Source organism: Homo sapiens, chromosome 10 (assembly GCF_000001405.40).
Source record: "Homo sapiens chromosome 10, GRCh38.p14 Primary Assembly".
NCBI lineage: Eukaryota > Metazoa > Chordata > Mammalia > Primates > Hominidae > Homo > Homo sapiens.
In genome coordinates, this window is record NC_000010.11 from 70,788,875 (window position 1) to 70,808,372 (window position 19,498).

The 19,498-nt window shown below is 42.1% G+C and overlaps 1 pseudogene; it reads right to left on the reverse strand.

Moving 5' to 3' along the window:
- Positions 5,242-5,675, reverse strand: RPS26P40 (ribosomal protein S26 pseudogene 40; annotated as a pseudogene).

The window sequence follows — 19,498 nt, forward strand, 5'->3', positions numbered from 1 at the left end:
GCACCTATATTTATGATGAATATTTATCTGTAGTTTCCTTTTTGTAGTATCTTCCTCTGGTTTGGGTATCATCAGGGTAATACTAATTTCATAAAATGAATTGGGAAGTGTTACCTCCTTTTCTATTTTCTGGAAGAGATCGTGTAAAATTGATGTTAATTCTTCTTTAAATGTTTGCTGGATTTCTCCAGTGAAACTACCTGGGCCTGGAGATTTATTTTTTGGGGTGTTTTAAAATTGAAAATTCAATTTTCTTAACAGTTATGGGACTATTCAAGAGATCTGTTTCAAAATGGGTGAGTTGTAATAGTTTCTTTTTCAAGGAGTTGGCCAATGTCTCTTATATTGTAAAATTTATTTGTGTAGAGTTGTTTTGTAATATTCTCTTATTATCCTTTTGATATCTGTAGAATATGTAGTGATATCTTTATTTCATTCCTGATACTATTAATTTGTGATTTCTTTCTCTTTCTTTTTTTGCCAGTCTTGCTAGATAGAAGTTTGCCAATTTTACTGATGTTTTCAAAGAACCAGCTCTTTGTTTTATTGATATTTTTCCTTTTTTTTTTCTGTTTTCAATTTCATGGATTTCTGCTCTTATCTTCGTTATTTCATTGTTCTGCTTGTTTTGGATTTATTTTGCACTGCTTTTTCTAGTTTTGTGAGGGGGGTGCTTAGATTATTTGTTGGACACTTTTCTCTCTCTTTTTTTTTGGTAGGGGGATGGAGTCTCGCTCTGTCACCCAGGCTGGAGTGCAGTGACGCGATCTTCGCTCACTGCAACCTCTGCCTCCCAGGTTCAAGCAATTCTCTGCCTCAGCCTCCGGAGTTGCTGGGATTACAGGCGCCTGCCACCATGTCCAGCTAATTTTTTTGTATTTTTAGTAGATACGGGGTTTAACCATTTTGGCCAGGCTGGTCTTGAACTCCTGACCTCATGATCCACCCATCTCGACCTCCCAAAGTGCTGGGATTATAAGCATGAGCCATCGTGCCTGGCCTCCTCTATTCTAATATATGCATTTAGTGCTATAAATGTTCCTCCCAACGTACTTTAGCAGTCGCCCACGAATCTTGATATGCTATGTCTTCATTTTCATTCAGTTATAATGTATTTTTAAAATTTCTTTTAAAATTTTCTTTTACCAACATGGATTTTTTAAAGAAGCATGTTATTAATTTCCAAATGTTTGTAGATTTCCCTGTTATCTTTTTCATTTATTTATTTTTTAAAATGAGACAGTGTCTCACTCTGTTACCCAGGCTGTAGTTCAGTGGTGGAATTACAGCTAACTGCAGCCTTGACCTCCCAGGCTCAAGTGATTCTCCCACCTCAGCTTTCAAGTAGCTGGGACTATAGGTGTACACCACCACGCCTGGCTAATTTTTGTATTTTTGTAGAGATGGGGTCTTGCCATGTTACCTAGGCTGGTCTTGAAATCCTGAGCTCAAGTGATCCACCCACCTTGGCCTCCCAAAGTGCTGGGATTACAGACATGAACCACCATGCCCACCCTCCAGTTATCTTTGTGCTATTGATTTCAACATTGATTCAATTGTGCTTGCGGAAGGTACTCTATATTATTTTAATTCTTTAAATGTGTTGAGGTTTGTTCTGTGGCTCAGGATGTGGTCTATGTTGGTGTACATTCTATGAGCACTAGAAAAGAATGTGTATTCTGCTGTTATTGGGTGAAGGGCTCTATAAATGTTAAAGTCTATTGGTTAAAATTGTTGAGTTCTTGTATATTCTTGCTAATTTTTGTCTAGTTCTATCAATGGTTGAGAGAGGGTTATTGAAGCTTCCAACAATAATTGTGGATTTGTCTATTTCTCTTTTCAGTTCTGTCAGTTTCTTCACACATTTTGTGACTCTGCTGTTTGGTGCACATACATTTAGGATTGCTAGATCTTCTTGATAGACTGGTGCTTTTATTATTATTTAATATCCCCTATGTCTCTGTCATTTTCTTTGCTCTGAAGTTTACTTTATCTGATATTAATTTAGCCACTCCCTTCCTTTAATTAATGATTGCATGATTTATCTTTTTTCATCATTTTACATTCAATGTTCCTATGTCATCATATTTGAAATGAGTTTCTTACAGACTGCATAGAGTTGTATGAAGTTTTGAAATCCACTCTACCAATTTATGTTCTTTTTTTTTCTTTTTCCTGTCTCACTGTGGGTTTCTTGGACATTCTACTAAGAATTCCATTTTGATTTATTTACAACGCTTTTGAGTGTATCTCTGTATCTTTTTTTAGTGGCTGCTGTAGGTATTTTATTTTATACATATATATTTTATTTTATACACATATACATATTTTATACATATATAACATATATAAAACATATCACAGTCTACTTGTATCCTTGTTTTACCACTTCATGTGAGGTATGGAAGCTCATTTCCCTTTATGTTCCTTTATCTCCCTTTGTTGATAATTGTTTTAAATATTTCCTCTACATACATTTAGAGCCATATCCAACAGTGTTGTAAGTTTTGCTTCAACTGTCAAACACAATTTAGAAATCTCAAGAGAAGGAAAGCCCATTGTATTTACCCATATTTTTACTTACTGGGCTCTTCCTTCCTTATGTTCCAGAGTTTCTTCTATTATTGTTTCCTTTCTGTTTGGAGAACTCCCTCTAACCATTTTTTTACAGCAGATTTGTGCTGGGTGAGGTGTCAGAGCCCCTTCATCAGGAAGTGGTTGACTTACGGGTTGTTAAGAAGAATTTACCAACAGCAGTATTAGTTTGAAAAAGGAAGGTTTTATTATAAAGAAAGAATGCCGCAGAGGAGTGCAGTGGGGTGCCTCAGCAAGAGAGGACTGAGGACACCAAGATGGATTTTCCTTAGGAGCATATATGGACATTAAGTTGGGAGCTTAAGGGTCATTTGGACCATATTAGCCACGTAGGTCATGATAAATGATTACGTGTCGACATTTTGGTGCCCTAATGTCAGCAAGGGTTGCATAATGAGTTTTGGCATGGCATTCTGGAGATGTATAGAATTTCTATTTACTTACAATTTTTTTTTTTTTAAAGAGACCTGGAACCAGATGACAACTTTAGGTACTAGGGAAGTTTAATTTACCTCTAAATTTCCTAGATAAGGAATTTGCTTCCAAATAGACTGTTTGATGCTCACCAGATGGTCTTCACTTCTTTCATTATACTTCTAAATTCCTCAGATAAGGAGTTTTTTGTCTCCGGGGCCTGCTCAATGTTCACCAGGTGACTTTTGCTTTCCTTATTTTTCCCCTGACAAATATTTTGGAAACTTTGACCCTCTGTATTCCCCCATGCTCCTGTCTACCTGCTGCCTACTGGGGTTTCAAGAAAGGGAAAATGCCACAGTGAAAAGGCACGTTGAGTCCATCTGGCTAATCCCTACTGAAAGGGGCATTGAAGGTATAGGTTGTGTTTTTCCCTTTCTTGCTCTCTGTCATGAAGGGAATGAAGGGTCATGAAAAACTCATTCATGAAGAGGTGGGGAAGACCAGATACCATCAGGAGGCTGGTATTGGGATTACATAGTCATCTGTAGGTGAAATTGTTGTAATCTGAAAGATATAAACTTAATGAGAGCATTAAAAAGTCAGGGACCAAATTTCAAAAGAAGAATGACAAGGAATAAAGGTCCAAGGAATGGGAGAAGCCAAGTGATTTTTGGAAACCAATCAATAGAGGTTTTGGCTCAGTCTTGGTTACTTTGGGAAAGTGTGTGTGGCCATTTGGCTTGTTTGAAGATTTCTTGGACCTTAGTTTCCACTTCTCCAGACACATTAATGTAGGTGTAGTAGGTTTTCTTGATGACAGCACTGACTCCTCCTTGTTCAGCTAGCGGGTAATCCAGAGCTTGTCTATTATTAAACCCATTCCTGCTAGTGAGTGTAAAGACTTTTCTAGTGCTGATAGACTTGTGCCAGTTTTTGCTAAGGCTATTTCAAGGGAGGTGGTAAGTTCCCATATTGACATTTCATGGTAAGTAAAGGGGTGAGAGTTGCAATAGTTCCCACAATTCTGGCCACACTTAAGTCCTCGGGCCCTTTTTCTTCTAGAATGGAATTCTGAATCGGAAGTTATGTTCAAGACACTGATTTGGGTATGAGCTATTGTTCCTAGAGTACAATCACCATAATGAAGAGAATTATTAAGATGGGATAGGGCCGAAGTTTGAAAAGGGCTTAAATAATTATTAGCAGTGCTGCAAAGCAGTGAGAGCCCAGGTGAGGCAGGTAACATACTTTTGAGGCTTCTTGGATTAAGAGGGCCACTGTTGCTAAGGCTCTTAGGCTGGGATGAGAGGGAATGACCTTTCTGGGATACTAGGTCTAAAGTTTTCCAAAAATACGCTATAGGGCACTTAAAGGGCCCTAGATCTTGGGCTAAGACTCCCAAAGCTATTCCCCTTCATTTGTGTACATTCAAAAATAAAGGCCTAGTCAGATCTGCTAGGGCTAAGACTGGGGCTGAGATTAAAGCCTGTTTTTAAGTGTTTAGAGCATGCTTCATAACATTAGTCTAGGAAAGAGGTTGCTCCTCAGTTCCCTTGAGGGATTCATATAAAGGTTTTGCTATTAATCCAAAGGAAGGAATCCATATTCTGTAAAACCTGGCCATATCCAAAAAGGACCAAAGCTGTTGTTTAGTTCCTGGGGTTGTCACGTTTAAGATGATAAGATTTTTCCAAATGCTTAGGGGCTCTTTGTACTGAAGGTTAAAATAAGACCCAAAATTGAACCCTTTGTGTGGATATTTGTACCTTAGAAGGAGATACTTTGTAGCCACCATCAGCAAGTTTATTTAGTACTAATATTGTATTTTGGTCTAAAACAGCCTTGTTAGTACTACAGATTAGCAGGTCCATCCACATACTGCAGTAGATTGCTATCTGGGAGAAACTGCAGGGTAGACAGGTTTTTAGCTAGGGCCTATCCAAAATGGTGGGGGCTATCTCTGAATCCCTGGGACAGAACTGTCTAAGTTAACTTTGAGCTAGTTGAGTATCTGAGTCTTGCTATTCAAAAGCAAACAAAAATTGGCTATCTGGGTGTACAGGAATGCAGAAAAAGGCATCCTTAAGATCAAGTACAGTAAACCAAGCTGTGATGGAGAGAATTTGTCCAAAAAGAGTGTAAGGGTTTGGGACAATAGGATGAATAGGAATAACAGCTTCATTAACAATTCTAAGGTCCTGTACTAGTCAGTAGGAGCCATTTTTTTTAAAGTACAATTTCCATTTTATTTTTCTCCAGAGAATAGTCTGTCTTCAGTCTTTAAGGACTCAGCTCCTTACATGGGCTTTGGTGGGGGTCATGGGGCAGCACCCACAGGTCTAAGGGTGGGAGTGTTGGGTCCTTGAAGCCTTCATGAGATTGATTTCTGACTACTTTGCTGTGAATTGCACAACTCACACAGTAATGTAGCTTCATATACTGCTTGGAAAGCACATAGGCATTGAAGACCCTCGCTTCAAAAATGTCCCTGACTGCTGCGGGCTCCACTATGTTTCGAATGACAAATTTCTTAATAGCCTTGTCCTTGGGCATGCATCGGGCACAGTTCATGCAGCAAATAGGCTGCACATGGCTGTGGCCCTTTTTGGTGAGGCCGTTGTTCCTTTTCTTTGTCATCTTGGAGGCACGGACTGGAGAGAGGACATCTGGTTTCTTTACAGCTAAAATGGGAGTGTTGCAAGGTGAGTTGCTTGGGTGCAATAATCCATGGGTTGAAAACTTTGTTACTAGGGGCTGTAACCCTTTTTGTTCTTCTAGTTTCAAGGGCTATTGGGGGGTTCTGGGGAACTTATTGGGATTTTTAAGCTGAATGATAATAGGGGCAGCTGATATTGAATGACCAGGAATAAAAATATTCCAAAGCTCAAATGGCACTTGTTTTAGAATATGAGGTTCTATAGACTGCAGTGGCTCTTTTGGTGAAGTGTGAGTGAATACAGCTGCTAGAAGATGAGGTCTTAGCGGTAAATTGCTTGTAACTTTGTAAGTCAGCATCTAATAATGAAACAGGATGGCTTGGCAGGACTAAAAAGAAGTGGGTGGGTAAAGGAATAGCCTTCCATTTTACAAGGGAGTGACAGTGTGAAATAGCCTCATTGGGGGTTTCCATCAATACCCATGAGGAAAATGGCGAACTGGCAATTTGGGCAGTAATAAACTTTTGAAGCTGAATAACTGGCCCCTGTATCTATGAGGAACATTATGTCTTGTTCAGCCACAGTCAGATTTACCTGAGGCTCATCCATAGAGATGGAAAAGATAGGGGCTGGATGGATGACTTCTGAAAGTCATCTAGAGGATGACTTTCAGAGGATGACTTTCAGAAGTTGATCATAATCCAGGAATGGAGTTAGAGGTGCTTGGCCTTGTTGTTGCCCTTGTCCTTGTTCTGCAGAACCCCCTTGTTGGATAGGTTGGTAAGGCTTTGGCTGTTACAGCCCAGAAGGAAGAGGTGCCTCACCTCACGATGGGGAGAGGGACTCTTGCTCTTCCAATGACCCTCTTGTCTGCAATAAGGACAGGGTCCCTGGGGTGACTTGTAACCTGGTGGTTTGGGACATCTGTACTTCAGTGTCTTGGATTTCTGCAGTGATGACAGGCCCCCATTCTGTTAGCATTATAGGGACGAGCCTTGGGATTATTAGCTAATGAAAAAGAATGTGCCAATGCTGTTGCCATGTGATTATCTTGACAATGGCATTTTTCCTCCTCCAATTGAGGCTTCTTTGTTTTTGATGTTTTCTCCCAGTTACTGAAAACCTTAAGGGCTGTATTTAATAAAGTACAAAAGGAGTTTTTGGGCCTTCCTCTAATTTTTGGATTTTTTGTCTGATGTCTGGGGAAGCCTGACTTATAAAGTGTACGGCTAGAATGAATTGGCCCTCAGGGCTTTTGGGGCCTAAATGTGTATATGTATGCATGGCTTCCACCAGCCTAGCTTGGAAAAGGGTGGAGTTCTCACATGGCTCCTGAGTGATTTCTTATAATTTAGAGAAATTAACAGGTTTTATTACAGCCTTTTTCATTCCTTCCAACAAACAATTTATCATATAATCTTGTCTGCCCCTGCCTCTGTTTGGGTCAGCATTGGCAGCCTGGTATTGCCAAATTGAGTTCTGTGTCAGGGACAAATTCTGCCCTGTCTCTATTATCATTAGGGTTACAAGCATGAGCTTCCTCTGCCCAAGCTCGAGCTAAAGACCGTACACATGATTTTTCTTCATGGGAACAGCAAGTAGTTAATACAATGAATATGTTTTTCCAGGTTAAGTCAAAGGTAATAGTTAAAGCCCAAAATTCTTGAATGAACTTAGAGGGATGCTGGCTAAATGAAACCAATCTGGATTGAATTTGTGAGAATCAGAAATTGGAAATGAGACATGAACTCATTTGGTAGGTTATTTGTTACTGCCTAAATTCCAGAACTTATTATTGGTCTATTTAGGGATTCTATTTCTTCCTGGTTCAGTCTTGAGAGGGTGTATGTGCCCAGAAATGTATCCGTTTCTGCCAGATTTTCTAGTTTATGTGCATAGAGGTGTTTATAATATTCTCTGACAGTTGTTTGTATTTCTGTGGGGTCACTGGTGATAGCCCCCTTATCATTTCTGATTGTGTTTATTTGAATCTTCTCTCTTTTCTTATTAGTTTAGCTAGTGGTCTATCTATTTTATTAATTTTTCAAAAAACCAGCTCCTAGATTTGTTGATTTTTTGAAGGATTTTTCATGTCTCTATCTCCTTCAATTCAGCTCTGATCTTATTTTTTGTCTTCTACTAGCTTTGTGGTTTGCTCTTTGTTCTCTAGTTCTATTAGTTGTGATGTTAGGTTGTTAACTTGAGATCTTTCTAGTTTTTTGATGTGGGCGTTTAGTGCTATAACTTTCCCCCTTAACACTACTTTAGCTGCATCCCAGAGATTCTAGTACATTGTATCTTTGTTCTCATTAGTTTCAAAGAACTTATTGATTTCTGCCTTAATTTCATTATTTACCCCAAAAGTCACTCAGGAGCAGGTTGTTCAATTCCATATAGTTGTATGGTTTTGAGTGAATTTCTTAATCTTGAGTTCTAACTTGTTTGCAGTGTGGTCTGAGAGACTGTTTGTTATGATTTCAGTTCTTTTGCATTTGCTGAGGAGTATTTTACTTCCAATTGCGTGATTAATTTTAGAGCAAGTGCCATGTGGCAATAAGAATGTATATTCTGTTGCTTTGGGCTGGAGAGTTCTGTAGATATCCATCAGGTCCACTTGATCCAGAGCTGAGTTCAGGTCCTGCATATCTTTGTTAATTTATTGTCTTGATGATCTGTCTAAATTGTCAGTGGGGTGTGAAAGTCTCCCACTATTATTGTGTGGGAGTCTAAGTATCTTGGAAGGTCTCTAAGAATTTGCTTTATGAATCTGAGTGCTCCTGTATTGTGTGCATATATATGTAGGATAGTTAGCTCTTCCTGTTGAATTGAACCCTTTACCATTATGTAATGCCCTTCTTTGTCTTTTTTTGATGTTTGTTGGTTTAAAGTCTGTTTTGTCAAAAACTAGGATTGTGACCCCTGATTTTTTCTGTTTTCCATTTGCTTGGTAAAGTTTCCTCCATCCCTTGATTTTGAGACCAGCCTGGCCAACATGGTGAAACCCTGTCTCTACTAAAAATACAAAAATTAGCCAGGCATGGTGGCCCATGCCTGTAATCCCAGCTACTCAGGAGGCTGAGGCAAGAGAATCAATTGAATCCGGGAGGCAGAGGTTGCAGTAAGCCGAGATTGCGCCACTGCACCCCAGCCTGGTGGCAAAGTGAGACTCTGTCTCAAAAAAAAAAAAAAAGAATCAATCTGGTTGCTTTTTGATAGAGCAGCTATGCCGTGTGGGGGATCGGTCTGGGCTCTCCAAGGCCCACAGGCTGGACTGGTTGAGACACTGGAACAGCCAAGGTTGCAGCCTGCCCTGCCCCCTGAGCTCTCCATCCCAGGGAGAAATTAGAACGCTGTCAGCCACAGAACACATGCAGGGGTGACCGGAGGCCCCCGTTGGGAGGTCCTGCCCAGTGAGGAGGGATGGACTGTAGTCTTGCTTAAAGAAGCCGTCTGGCCACACCCTGCCAAAACAGCCTTGTCATGCTGGAGAACCGCCTCTGCCCCTGTCGGTTTGGACTCTCCAAAGCCCATGGGCTGACTTGTCCAAACAACCAAGGTGGAAGCCCACCCCTCCCCCTGGGCACTCTGTCCCATGGAGAAATCAGAGCTCTGTCTGTAGAATACGTGTGGGTGGGGGTGGCTGGAAGCCTTGGCTGGGAGGTTCCACCCAGTGATGAGGAATGGATCAGGGTCCCACTTAAAGAAGCAGTCTGGCTATGTTCTGACAAAGCTGCTGTGCTGCACTAGGGAAACCCTTCCTCATCTGGACTATTTGGACTCTCCAAAGCCCACAGGCTGGAACGGCTGAATCAACCAAACAGCAGGGCTGGTGGTGCACCCCTCCCGCAGGGAGCTCCAGCCCAACTCGGGCAGGCTCGACCCTGTTACCAGTGGCTGGCTAAAATACCTTGTGAGGTGCCGTGGAAGTGGGTCCTACAGACTAGTGCTGCTTGACTCCCTGAATTCAACGCCCTTCCTAGGGGCATGTATGGACCTCCTAATGATACAGGAGTTAAAAAGAAATTACTTAGGCAGATAGTGAGGGCACGGAAGTCGTCGATAACATTTTCCTTTTAATGAAAGGCAGCCCCAAATCATTTTTCTTCTGAACAAAAAGCAGCCTCTAAAATCAAGCTGCAGACATAGATGCCCGTGGTTGTGCCAATCATGTTCAAAATGGTGGCTCCATCTTCCCTTCTCTTTGCCAGCCATGTATACAGTAAGGAGCAGACAAGATGGCGCTGGCCAAGGGGAGAGTCCATTTGCATAAGATTAGGGTGGAGTGGACAGTCTTCCCCATGTGCTATGGAAACATCACACCCGATCAAACCAATCCGTGGGCCCCACGTAAATCAGCCACTGCCTCTCAGGCCTGCCTATAAAATCCCGCACACTCCATCACCAGCTGGTCTTTCCTTTCGGAAGCTCCTCTCTCTTTAGTGAGAGAGAGAGGAAGCCTTGGCTGGGAGGTCCCACCCAGTGATGAGGAATGTTCTCCTTTCTCTTTCTTTTGCCTATTAAACCTCTGCTCCTAAACTCCTTGTGTGTGTCAATGTCCTAAATTTTCTTGCCACGAGACTCTGGGTTTTACCCCAGACAATGAAGCCACTTCACTGCCTTGCCTGAGCTGCAGATACCTTTGTTGGGGATCCCGGGGCTGGAGTATGTAAAACTCCTGGGTCTCTGTGTGTGCCTGAGCAGCTGCTCTGCCAAGACTACACAGATCTGTGTGTTGGACCTAAGGCCCTGGTGGCATGGACTCATGAGGGGAGAATCACGGTTTCCCAGGGTTGCACAATCACTCACCACTTCCCTTGGCTGGGGGCAGGGGTTCCCTTGGCTCCGTGTTGCTCTTGAGTGGGTCATCGCCCCACCCTGCTTTTCTTCATTCTCTGTGGGTAGAATTGTTTCCCTGATCAGTCCCAATGTAGGACCTGGATATTTCAGTTGAAGGTGCTATATTCACTTGCTCCTTTCGTTCCTCTCCCTGAGTGCCTCAGATGGCAACTGCTTCAAATCGGCCATCTTGGCGAAGGCTCCACATGAGCTCAAATTGTCCGCAAATCTCCATTTGCCACCTCACAGAGAGGCAAAATATTTTGGGGATTTTCTGAGGACTCTGTACTAGTGGCATATGTGACTCCTGTGCGAGTATGTGAGGGGGATAATGTATCTGGATATGGAGGGATTGACTAGGGGATGGAGCAGATGGAGAGGGTGTAGATGAAGTAGTAACAGGCTGAGAAGAGAGTAACAGACAAAAGGGAGGATCATCTAAGACATTAGAATTGGGGAGAGAGGAAGTTCCTTGGAAGCATACATGACAATTTTTAATGTAATTCTGGGTTTGGGGATAAAGCGAAAAAGACCTAAGGGACCTCTGAATCCTTTCTGGGGTTATGGCAAAATGAGTCTAGTTGTAAAATAATATTCCAATCCAGGGTCCCATTAAGAGGACAATTTAAATTATTGGGGCGCTTATATTGAACCCTTACAAAAGAAAATCATACACTTCTTTCTGAGAGTTTGTGGGTCAAAATGGGACCACTTTTTAAGAATGCAAGCCAAGGGCGAATCAGATGGAATGGAAGAATGAATCGAATCCATGTTGGGTGTTGATAAGGGACTACAAGATCTCTGAGGCATCCCTAAGGGATCTGGACCTCCCTTTTCCCTTTGGCTCACTCTATTCAGGGGTGTCTCACCACAAATAGAGGGCCTGCCCTTGCCTGGATGACCAGTCCAAGCATGCTCTTGTTTGAGTGGTCAGCTTGAACCTAATGTGAAGCAGAACTTACCTATAATTTGGGATGCGGTGCCTGTGATGAAGTTGAATCCAAAATGGGGTCCACAACCAGTAGACTGTGTCTGTGCAGAGTTGAGATTGCTGCTGCTTGTTTCAAGGCATGGTTTAGACTATTAAAGTGAAAGTGGACTTGCTACCCTGGCGGGCAATAGTGAATTCACTCTTTTGTCTTTGCCTTCAGGTAACACCCAGGAGTGCCCTCAGCCAGAAACCCTCAATTGCCAAAGAGTACTCAAGCTGTTTCACTGGCAGTCTGAAAATAGAAAAGAACCCTGGGCCAGGTGTGGTGGCTCAGCCTGTAATCCCAGCACTTTGGGAGGCCGAGGCGGTTGGATCACCTGAGGTCAGGAGTTCGAGACCAGCCTGGCTAACATGGCAAAATCCTGTCTCTACTAAAAATACAAAAAATTAGCTGGGCGTGGTGGCGCATGCCTGTCATCCCAGCTACTCAGGAGGCTGAGGCAGGAGAATCGCTTGAACCCGGGAGGCAGAGGTTGCAGTGAACTGAGATCGCACCATTGCACTCCAGCTTGGGCAACAAGAGCGAAACTCCTTCTCAAAATGAAAAAAGAAAAAAAGAAAAGAAAAGAGGCCACTTTCTCACCCCTAAGAGCAGTGACACACAGATATCCCTTCTCTAGGGCTTCAGAATCCCACTGAAGATTGGCCTCAGCCAGGGACCTTCAGTTCCTAAGAGTAAAGAACCAGACCATCAGGCCGGGTACAGTGGCTCATGCCCGTAATCCCAACACTTTGGGAAGCCAAGTTGGACGTTTCACATGAGGCCAGGAGGTCGAGAGCAGCCTGGCCAACATGGCAAAACCCTCTCTCTATAAAAAACAAGATAATAAAAATCGAGGGAAGCAGGGAGAAAAAAGAAGGGAGAAATCCCAGTAAAGTCCCCATACAGGTCACCAAGATGCTGGGCGAGGTGTCAGAGCCCTAGCATTGGAAAGTAGTCAACTCATGGGTTGGTAAGAAGAATTTACCAACAACAGTATAGGTTTGAAAAAGGAAATTTTCATTAGAAAGAACGCTGCAGAAGAGTGTAGCAGGGCTCCTCTGCCAGAGAGGACTGAGCACACCCGCGTGGATTTTCCTGAGGGGTATTTATGGACCTTAAGGCGGGAGCTTAAGGGTAATTTGGATCATATTAGCCATGTGGGTCATGGTAAATGATTACATTTGTCAACATTTTGGTGCCTTAATGTCATCAAGGGTTGCACAGTGAGTTTCAGCATGGCATTCGGAGATGTATAGAAATTACAGTTACTTGTGAATTCTTTTTTTTTTTTTTGAGAGAGGCCTGAAAACAGAGGCCAACTGTAGATACTAGGGACGTTTATTTCTAAATTCCCCAGAAAAGGAGTTTTGCCTACTGATGGCCTGTTAGATGCTCACCAGGTGATCTTCGATCTCCTCATATAGGATTCTGGGTTGACACATTTTTACTTTCATCATCTGAAAAATATTCCTACTAACCCCTGTGATTTCTGATGAGAAAACTGCTGTCATTCTACTTGTTTTTTCTCCTATACATAAGGAGTTATTCTCTGGCTGCTTGCAAGATTTTTTTTCTTTGTCTTTAGTTTTTAGAAGTTTAATAATTATGTGTCTTGTGACATGGATTTCTTTAGGCTTATTCTGTTTTGTTTGCTCATCTTCTTGAATCTGTAGATTTATGTCTCTTCTGAAATTTGGGAGCTTTTCAGCCATTATGTCAAGTACTTTTGCAGTCCTATCCTCTTCCTCTTATTATTCTAGGACTTCGATGACACAAATATTAGATCTTTTGTTATAGTTCCACAGGTCCCTGAGGTTCTGTTTTTGTATTGTTCTAATTTGTTTTGTTTTTGGTCTAGTGTTTCTTTTTTTTTTTCAGATTGGTTAATTTCTATCTCCCAGTTGACTGATTCTTTCCTCCACCTCCTCCATTCTGCTGTTAAGCCCATCCATTGACTTTTTATTTCAGTGATTGTATTTTGCAGTTCTAAAATCTCCATTTTGCTCTTTATAGCTTCCATGTCTTTGCTGAGGCTTCCTATTTTTTTCATTTGTTTTGTGTTCCTAAGTTCTCACTGAAGCAATTTTTAAAAAATCATGGCTGCTCTAAAATCTTTGTCAGATAATTACAATATCTCTGTCATTTCAGTGTTGGCATGTATTGTGTTTTTCTAGGAATTTTTCCATATCATCTACATTTTCAAATTTATTGCATAAAGACCATATCTTTGTTTCTAGGAACTATAGTGATATCTTCTTTTTCATTTTTGATATTGGACTGAATTTGTTCTCTCTCTCTTTCTCTCTCTCTCTTTCTCTCATCCCTTTCTCTCTTTTTTCTTTATCAATCCTGCCAGGGGTTATTATTTTTAGTAGTTATTTTTAACAAACCAATTTTTCATTTTGTTGATCCTCTTCATTATTACCTTCTACTTTCTTTAGGCTTAGTTTGCTATTGTTTTTATAATTTCTTGAGATAGATATTTACATCATTGACTTTCCTTCTTTTCAAATACGTTACATGTTTAAGGGCATCCCACAAGCTTGTCAAGTTTGTAGGAGACCAGTGCTTCCTTAGTATAGCTTTTTTTTTTTTTCAAACAGAGTCTCCCTCTGTTGCCCAGGCTGGAGTGTAGTGGTACGATCTCGACTCACTGCAACCTCTGCCTCCCAGGTTCAAGTGATTCTTCCGCCTCAGCCTCCCGAGTAGCTGGGACTACAGGCGTATGCCACCATGCCCAGCTGATTTTTTGTATTTTTTAGTAGAGATGGGGTTTCACTGTGTTAGCCAGGATGGTCTCGATCTCCTGACCTCATGATCCACCCGCCTTGGCCTCCCAAAGTTCTGGGATTATGGGCCTGAGCCACCATGCCTGGCCAGTGTAGCTTTAATTTGCATTTCTTTACTGAGTGAGGTTGACTTTTCATGTGTTTAAATGCTATTTGTATGCATTTTTGTGACCTTTGCTCATTTTTCTATTGGTTTGTTAGTTCGTATACGGATAGATGGATTCATGTATTAGAGAGATTATCGCTTTGTAATACGAGTAATTAAAATACTTTTTTTTAGTTTGTTGTTTTCCTATTGACTTTGCCTATGCAGTGAACTGTCTTGCTAAACTGCTACTGTGCTGAGGACTTGCTCACCTGCCTTTGGAGGTCAGAGAGGGTAGCTCATTTCAACTCACTCTGCTTTGGCGGGCTCTCATTTAACCTCATGAAAGAGTCCACAGAACGGAGGCCAGAAGCCTGGGCTCCAGAGTTACTCAGGCCTGCCATTCTCTATGTGACTTAAACCAAATTTTGACAACTCCTGACCTCAGTTTCCTCATCTGTAAAATAGAAATAATAATTCTTCTAACTTTATGTAGCTGTTTGATGATTAAATAAGATAATGCATATAAGATCATTTAGCACAGAGTGTGATCCACAGTAAAGGTATGATGCATAGTATTTGCTTTTTAATTATTAGTGTTTACCAAGATCAAGCTAATGTTGTGTGAATGGCTGCTGTTTTTTCCTGATGCCACTCCCCATCAGAGTACAGGAGAAAATCCTGTGACCACATGCTGTTGGCTCACCTGCTATGTCTTTTTTGCTTTGTGCATGGAGTTCTGGATTGCGGCCAGTACCATTGAGTGTTTTGATGAAGGTTGGCTGCTCCGAGAGTTTGAATTTTTGCCAGGCTCTTTGGGTACATCTATCATAGCATTCTTTGTGCCTTTATTGTCCTGAGCTCTGCATGACTAGCCTTCTGATGGTCTTTCAGAAAAGAGAAAAGGAAAGAATGGAGGCATGGTTAAAGACCCCACATGGCTCACTCACCTGTTTCCCCTGGGATGATCAAAGTTACCTAGTTACCTGTCATCTGACCAGGACTCACAGCTCTGGAGCTGACAGGTATAGACTGGTCTAAGCCAGCATTCAGGAAGGCCACCCAACTGGAAGAGCAGGCATCAGAGTAGAGAGAATAAGCCTGAGCTCTCCAGAACATCCAAGGTCATAGAACAAAGTGGCCTTAGGGGAACAAAACTGGGTCCCCATACCTAGTTCTCCTCCTGTACTCTCTCTTAGTACCCAATAATTCTTACAATTTTATATATCTCTTCTGCAAGCCTGTAAGTTCCAAGAGGTCAGAGACCACATTTGCCTTGTTCACTACCAAGAATAGGGCCTTGATCTATGTGGTGGTTACATGGGTGTGTTTGCTTTGTGTTAATTCATCAGGCTCTTGGTACAGTGCCTGATGCCTAGTATTCATTGAACGGATGAATAAGTGAGTCATAGAGTCTCAGGTATTTATTCAGATCATTCATCTACTACATGCTTGAATCCTTGCCTCATTCCTACCAAGGGTTTGTTAGCATTTATCATTTAAACACTTCTAATGACAACAAGCTCTCTACTGCTCAAGGCTGCCCGTTCATTTTCTGTTTAGGTCTCTTGCCTAGAAAGTTCTTCTTAATATTGAGCTGAAATATGCCTCCTTGAGGCTTCTGGTTAGTATTCTTGTTCTATCCTTTATGGCCACACGAATCAAGTCTGGGCCTTCTTCACCATGACAACTCTTCAGACATTTGTGGTTAGTTCTGACACCCACTTCTTTTCCAGGTAACCACAAAATCATTGATTAGACACACATTTGTTGAATGTCTGTAACACGGAATAGATTAGAGAACATACAGGTGAAAAGACATAATATCATCCTCGAGTGGTTACTGGTCTTGAGGGAGCCAGAGAAATTAAGACTTAATGTGCTAAGTGTTAGGGAAATGGAGACACAGGAAAAGAGAATTCGAGCCTACCTAGGGGTCTTGGGGAAGGTTGCAAAGTAGACCAAGGAGAGAAGGATGTTCCAAGAAAAGGGAATAGCACATGCAAAAGTCTGGAGCTATAAAAGCCCAGGGCATGTTATGGAAACTCTAAGTTGTTCTAGATGGCTAGGGAGACTAGAAGACTCAGATTGTTAGAACAGACCAATTTATGCTTGTTGTCCCAGAAAACTTAATAATATGTCCTTAGTTTCAAAAGTATCCCAGATAGTCACTGTGAGTATAGTTGGGACATAAAGTCTGAGAGTGAGGTGGAAATGGGGGAGATGAAGGTGGAGAGAAGCAGCGGCTGATCGTAGAGGTCACTGTGGCCAAGTTCAAGAAAGGCATTCAGTTAACTGGGCTTCTTATGGTGTCTTTCCCTTCAAGGTTATCTTCTCCAGATATGATCTGATTCACAGATAGATCAATACAGCCACTGACAGATGATTATTGCTATGGGCTACCATTTACGGAGCGCTTACCAGGTAAGTGCTTTCCATGTAGGCTGGGGTGAGGCCCAGGTAACCTCTGCTGACTTAGTTATGCTTGTCCTTTAACTGATTCTCTGCCAGTAGGCCTTGGGTTTTGACTTGTTTTTACTGTTGTGAGGTCATGTCCTGAGACAACATTGGGCAAGTCCCAAAGGGCCTTCTGTTCCCAACTAGAAACTTTGTAAGCTTTCCCTGGAGGGGGACAGCTGAGGTCAGGAGATGGCTACTAGCTATAAACAGTTTGTTTTAAAGGACTTGTATGATGTCTGTATTGAAGGGATTCATATGAATATTCAAATGAAATGAGTTGAGTTTGTTCTAAGATGATGCAGTAGCTAGGAATGTTGAGTTAGATGTTTGGATGGGCAGCCAGGGCACATGGTTTAAACATTTGACGCACTTGAATTCAATGGATAGTGGATAGCAAGAGTGGGCATTTGAAATATGTCTGAGTGAGTGGTTTCCTCTGCAGCACCTCCTGCAACAGCTGTCCCTAAGTGGCAGGTGTGGGTTTATACCCTAAAACTGAATGTAGCAGTGCCCTCAAGCAGACCCACAAGGACTAGCTTGAGGCTGCTTTGTCTCCCAGAAAGACAGTTGGCAGCAGCTATTGGAGGGCTCTGCAGGCTTCCAAGTCCCCACCACTGCCCCAACACTTGGGTGGTCAGTGGGCACATGAGGCCACTGAGAATGGTCATGTCACCCTGCCCTTCCCATTCCTCCATTGCCAACCTACTGAGGTTTGGGGCTAGCGTGAGAATCTATTTGTGTTAGCTTGCTAATCAGGCTGTTGTAACAAAGTGCCACAAACTGGGTGGCTTGCACAACAGAAATGGATTGTCTCCCATTTCTGCAAGATAGAAGTCTGAGATCAAGGTGTTGGCAGGGCTGGTTCCTTCTGAGAGCTATGAGGAAAAACACGTTTCATGGCCCTCTCCTAGCTACTGGTGGTTTGTTGGCAACCTTTGATGGTCTTTGGCTTATAAAGTCATCACTCTGATTGCTACCTTCATTTTCACATGGTGCTCCCCCTCTATGCATGTCTGTCCAAATTGCCCCATTTTATAAGGACACCAGTCATATTAGGCTAGGGGTGCACCCTATTCCAGTAATACTTCATCTTAACTCATTACATCTGCCATGACCCTATTTTCCAGTAAGGCCATATTCACCACATGGATTGTTGGGGGACACAGTTCAACCCATAGCACTTAGGATAAATTGAAATAGCATCAGCATGAACACAATTACTCTACTGGTTACTTCTGCCAAACAACCTTCAAGTCAGAAAGAATCCTGTGGTTAAGGGAGAGGTACCGCAATCCAGCTGCAACAAGTTAAAGGTGTAGCCCACTAGCTATGGGTTAGTTTGCCCTGAGCTCTGAATGTGACTTCTTCCCTGGGAATCTTGGCTTGAGGGCACATGTGGGAGCCTGCTTGCCAGGCACAGGGTAGCCTGTGGCTTTGGGAGTCTTGTTTTAATCTGTTCTGTCACTTTCCAAAGGTCTGTCTTCTAAGCTTATGCCATTGTTGTACCCTAGAACCAACTATTTTCATTCTTTGCTGAGTACCTTTTCTGCCCATATGAATTCTCTCCTAGCCATTCTCCATACCACGCAGACGGATTGTTCTAAAACACAAATGTGATATTGTCAGTCCCTTGACTGAAAAGACCTCAACGGCTGTTGCTCTTTGGATGAAGATCAAAACACTGTTTCCTACAGGACTGGGAGGTCTCAGACAGGAGGATTGCCATCTGCATTTGCATTTATTTAAAAAACAATTGAACTGGTGACATTCTGTTTCTTGATCTGGGTGGTGCTGAACAATGGTGTTCACTATGTCAATATTCATCTAGCTCTACACTTTGATTTGTGGACTTGTCTGTACATACAATGTATCCCAATTTTAAAAAATCTTCAAAACAACTGAATGAGTTGCCCAAAGTTCTGGGAGTTCCTTGGTCGTATTACACTTTATGATCTTTTAGATCTCTTGACCAATACCATACAACTAGAGATTTTTTTCCCCCTTTCTATCTTGGGAGGAAAAAGATGGAATTAACAAACAGAGGTGATTCAGTGAGTTACATTGTGGTCACAAGATAAATTATGCACATTGCGACAAGAAAACCACATAGTCCTATAAAATTATGGGCTGTTTTTATCCAGAATTATGCTGGCTTTCTATTTCCTGTTGTTGATTAAGAATAAAGAGGGACCTGCCTGTTGCCCCTGCCTGCAGCGCCTAGAGGAGAGAGAGAAGTCATGATCAGCCTCATTTCTGCCCCAGGGACTGCATTATTCCCCTTTGAAGCAACAGTGCTTCCCCTAGAGCTTGGTCAAGGAGAGGGGCTGCAGGCAACCCCTGTGTCTGCCCCAAGAAAATGGGAGTTCTGAGCAACTTGGGTGTATGGAAAAAGGAAGCACTCTCCACAGATGGCTGAAAAGCATTGTTGGTAACATATGAAGCTTGAGTCTAGGGGTAAATGACAAGCCCTTTAAGTGGGCTCTGTTTCTTGGAGTGCTGAACTGTTCCCACTGTTTAACATAAAGAACCAAAGTAGCCCTTGCAAAGAGAGTGAGAATAATCTCTGACTCTGGCAGGCTCTTAGGACATCATAATTTTAAAATTGAGAGAATTTTTAAAAATCTAGATTTCTGTCTTTCCTTGGAAAATTGAGATGTTGAACTACCCTACTATGCTATTAAAATT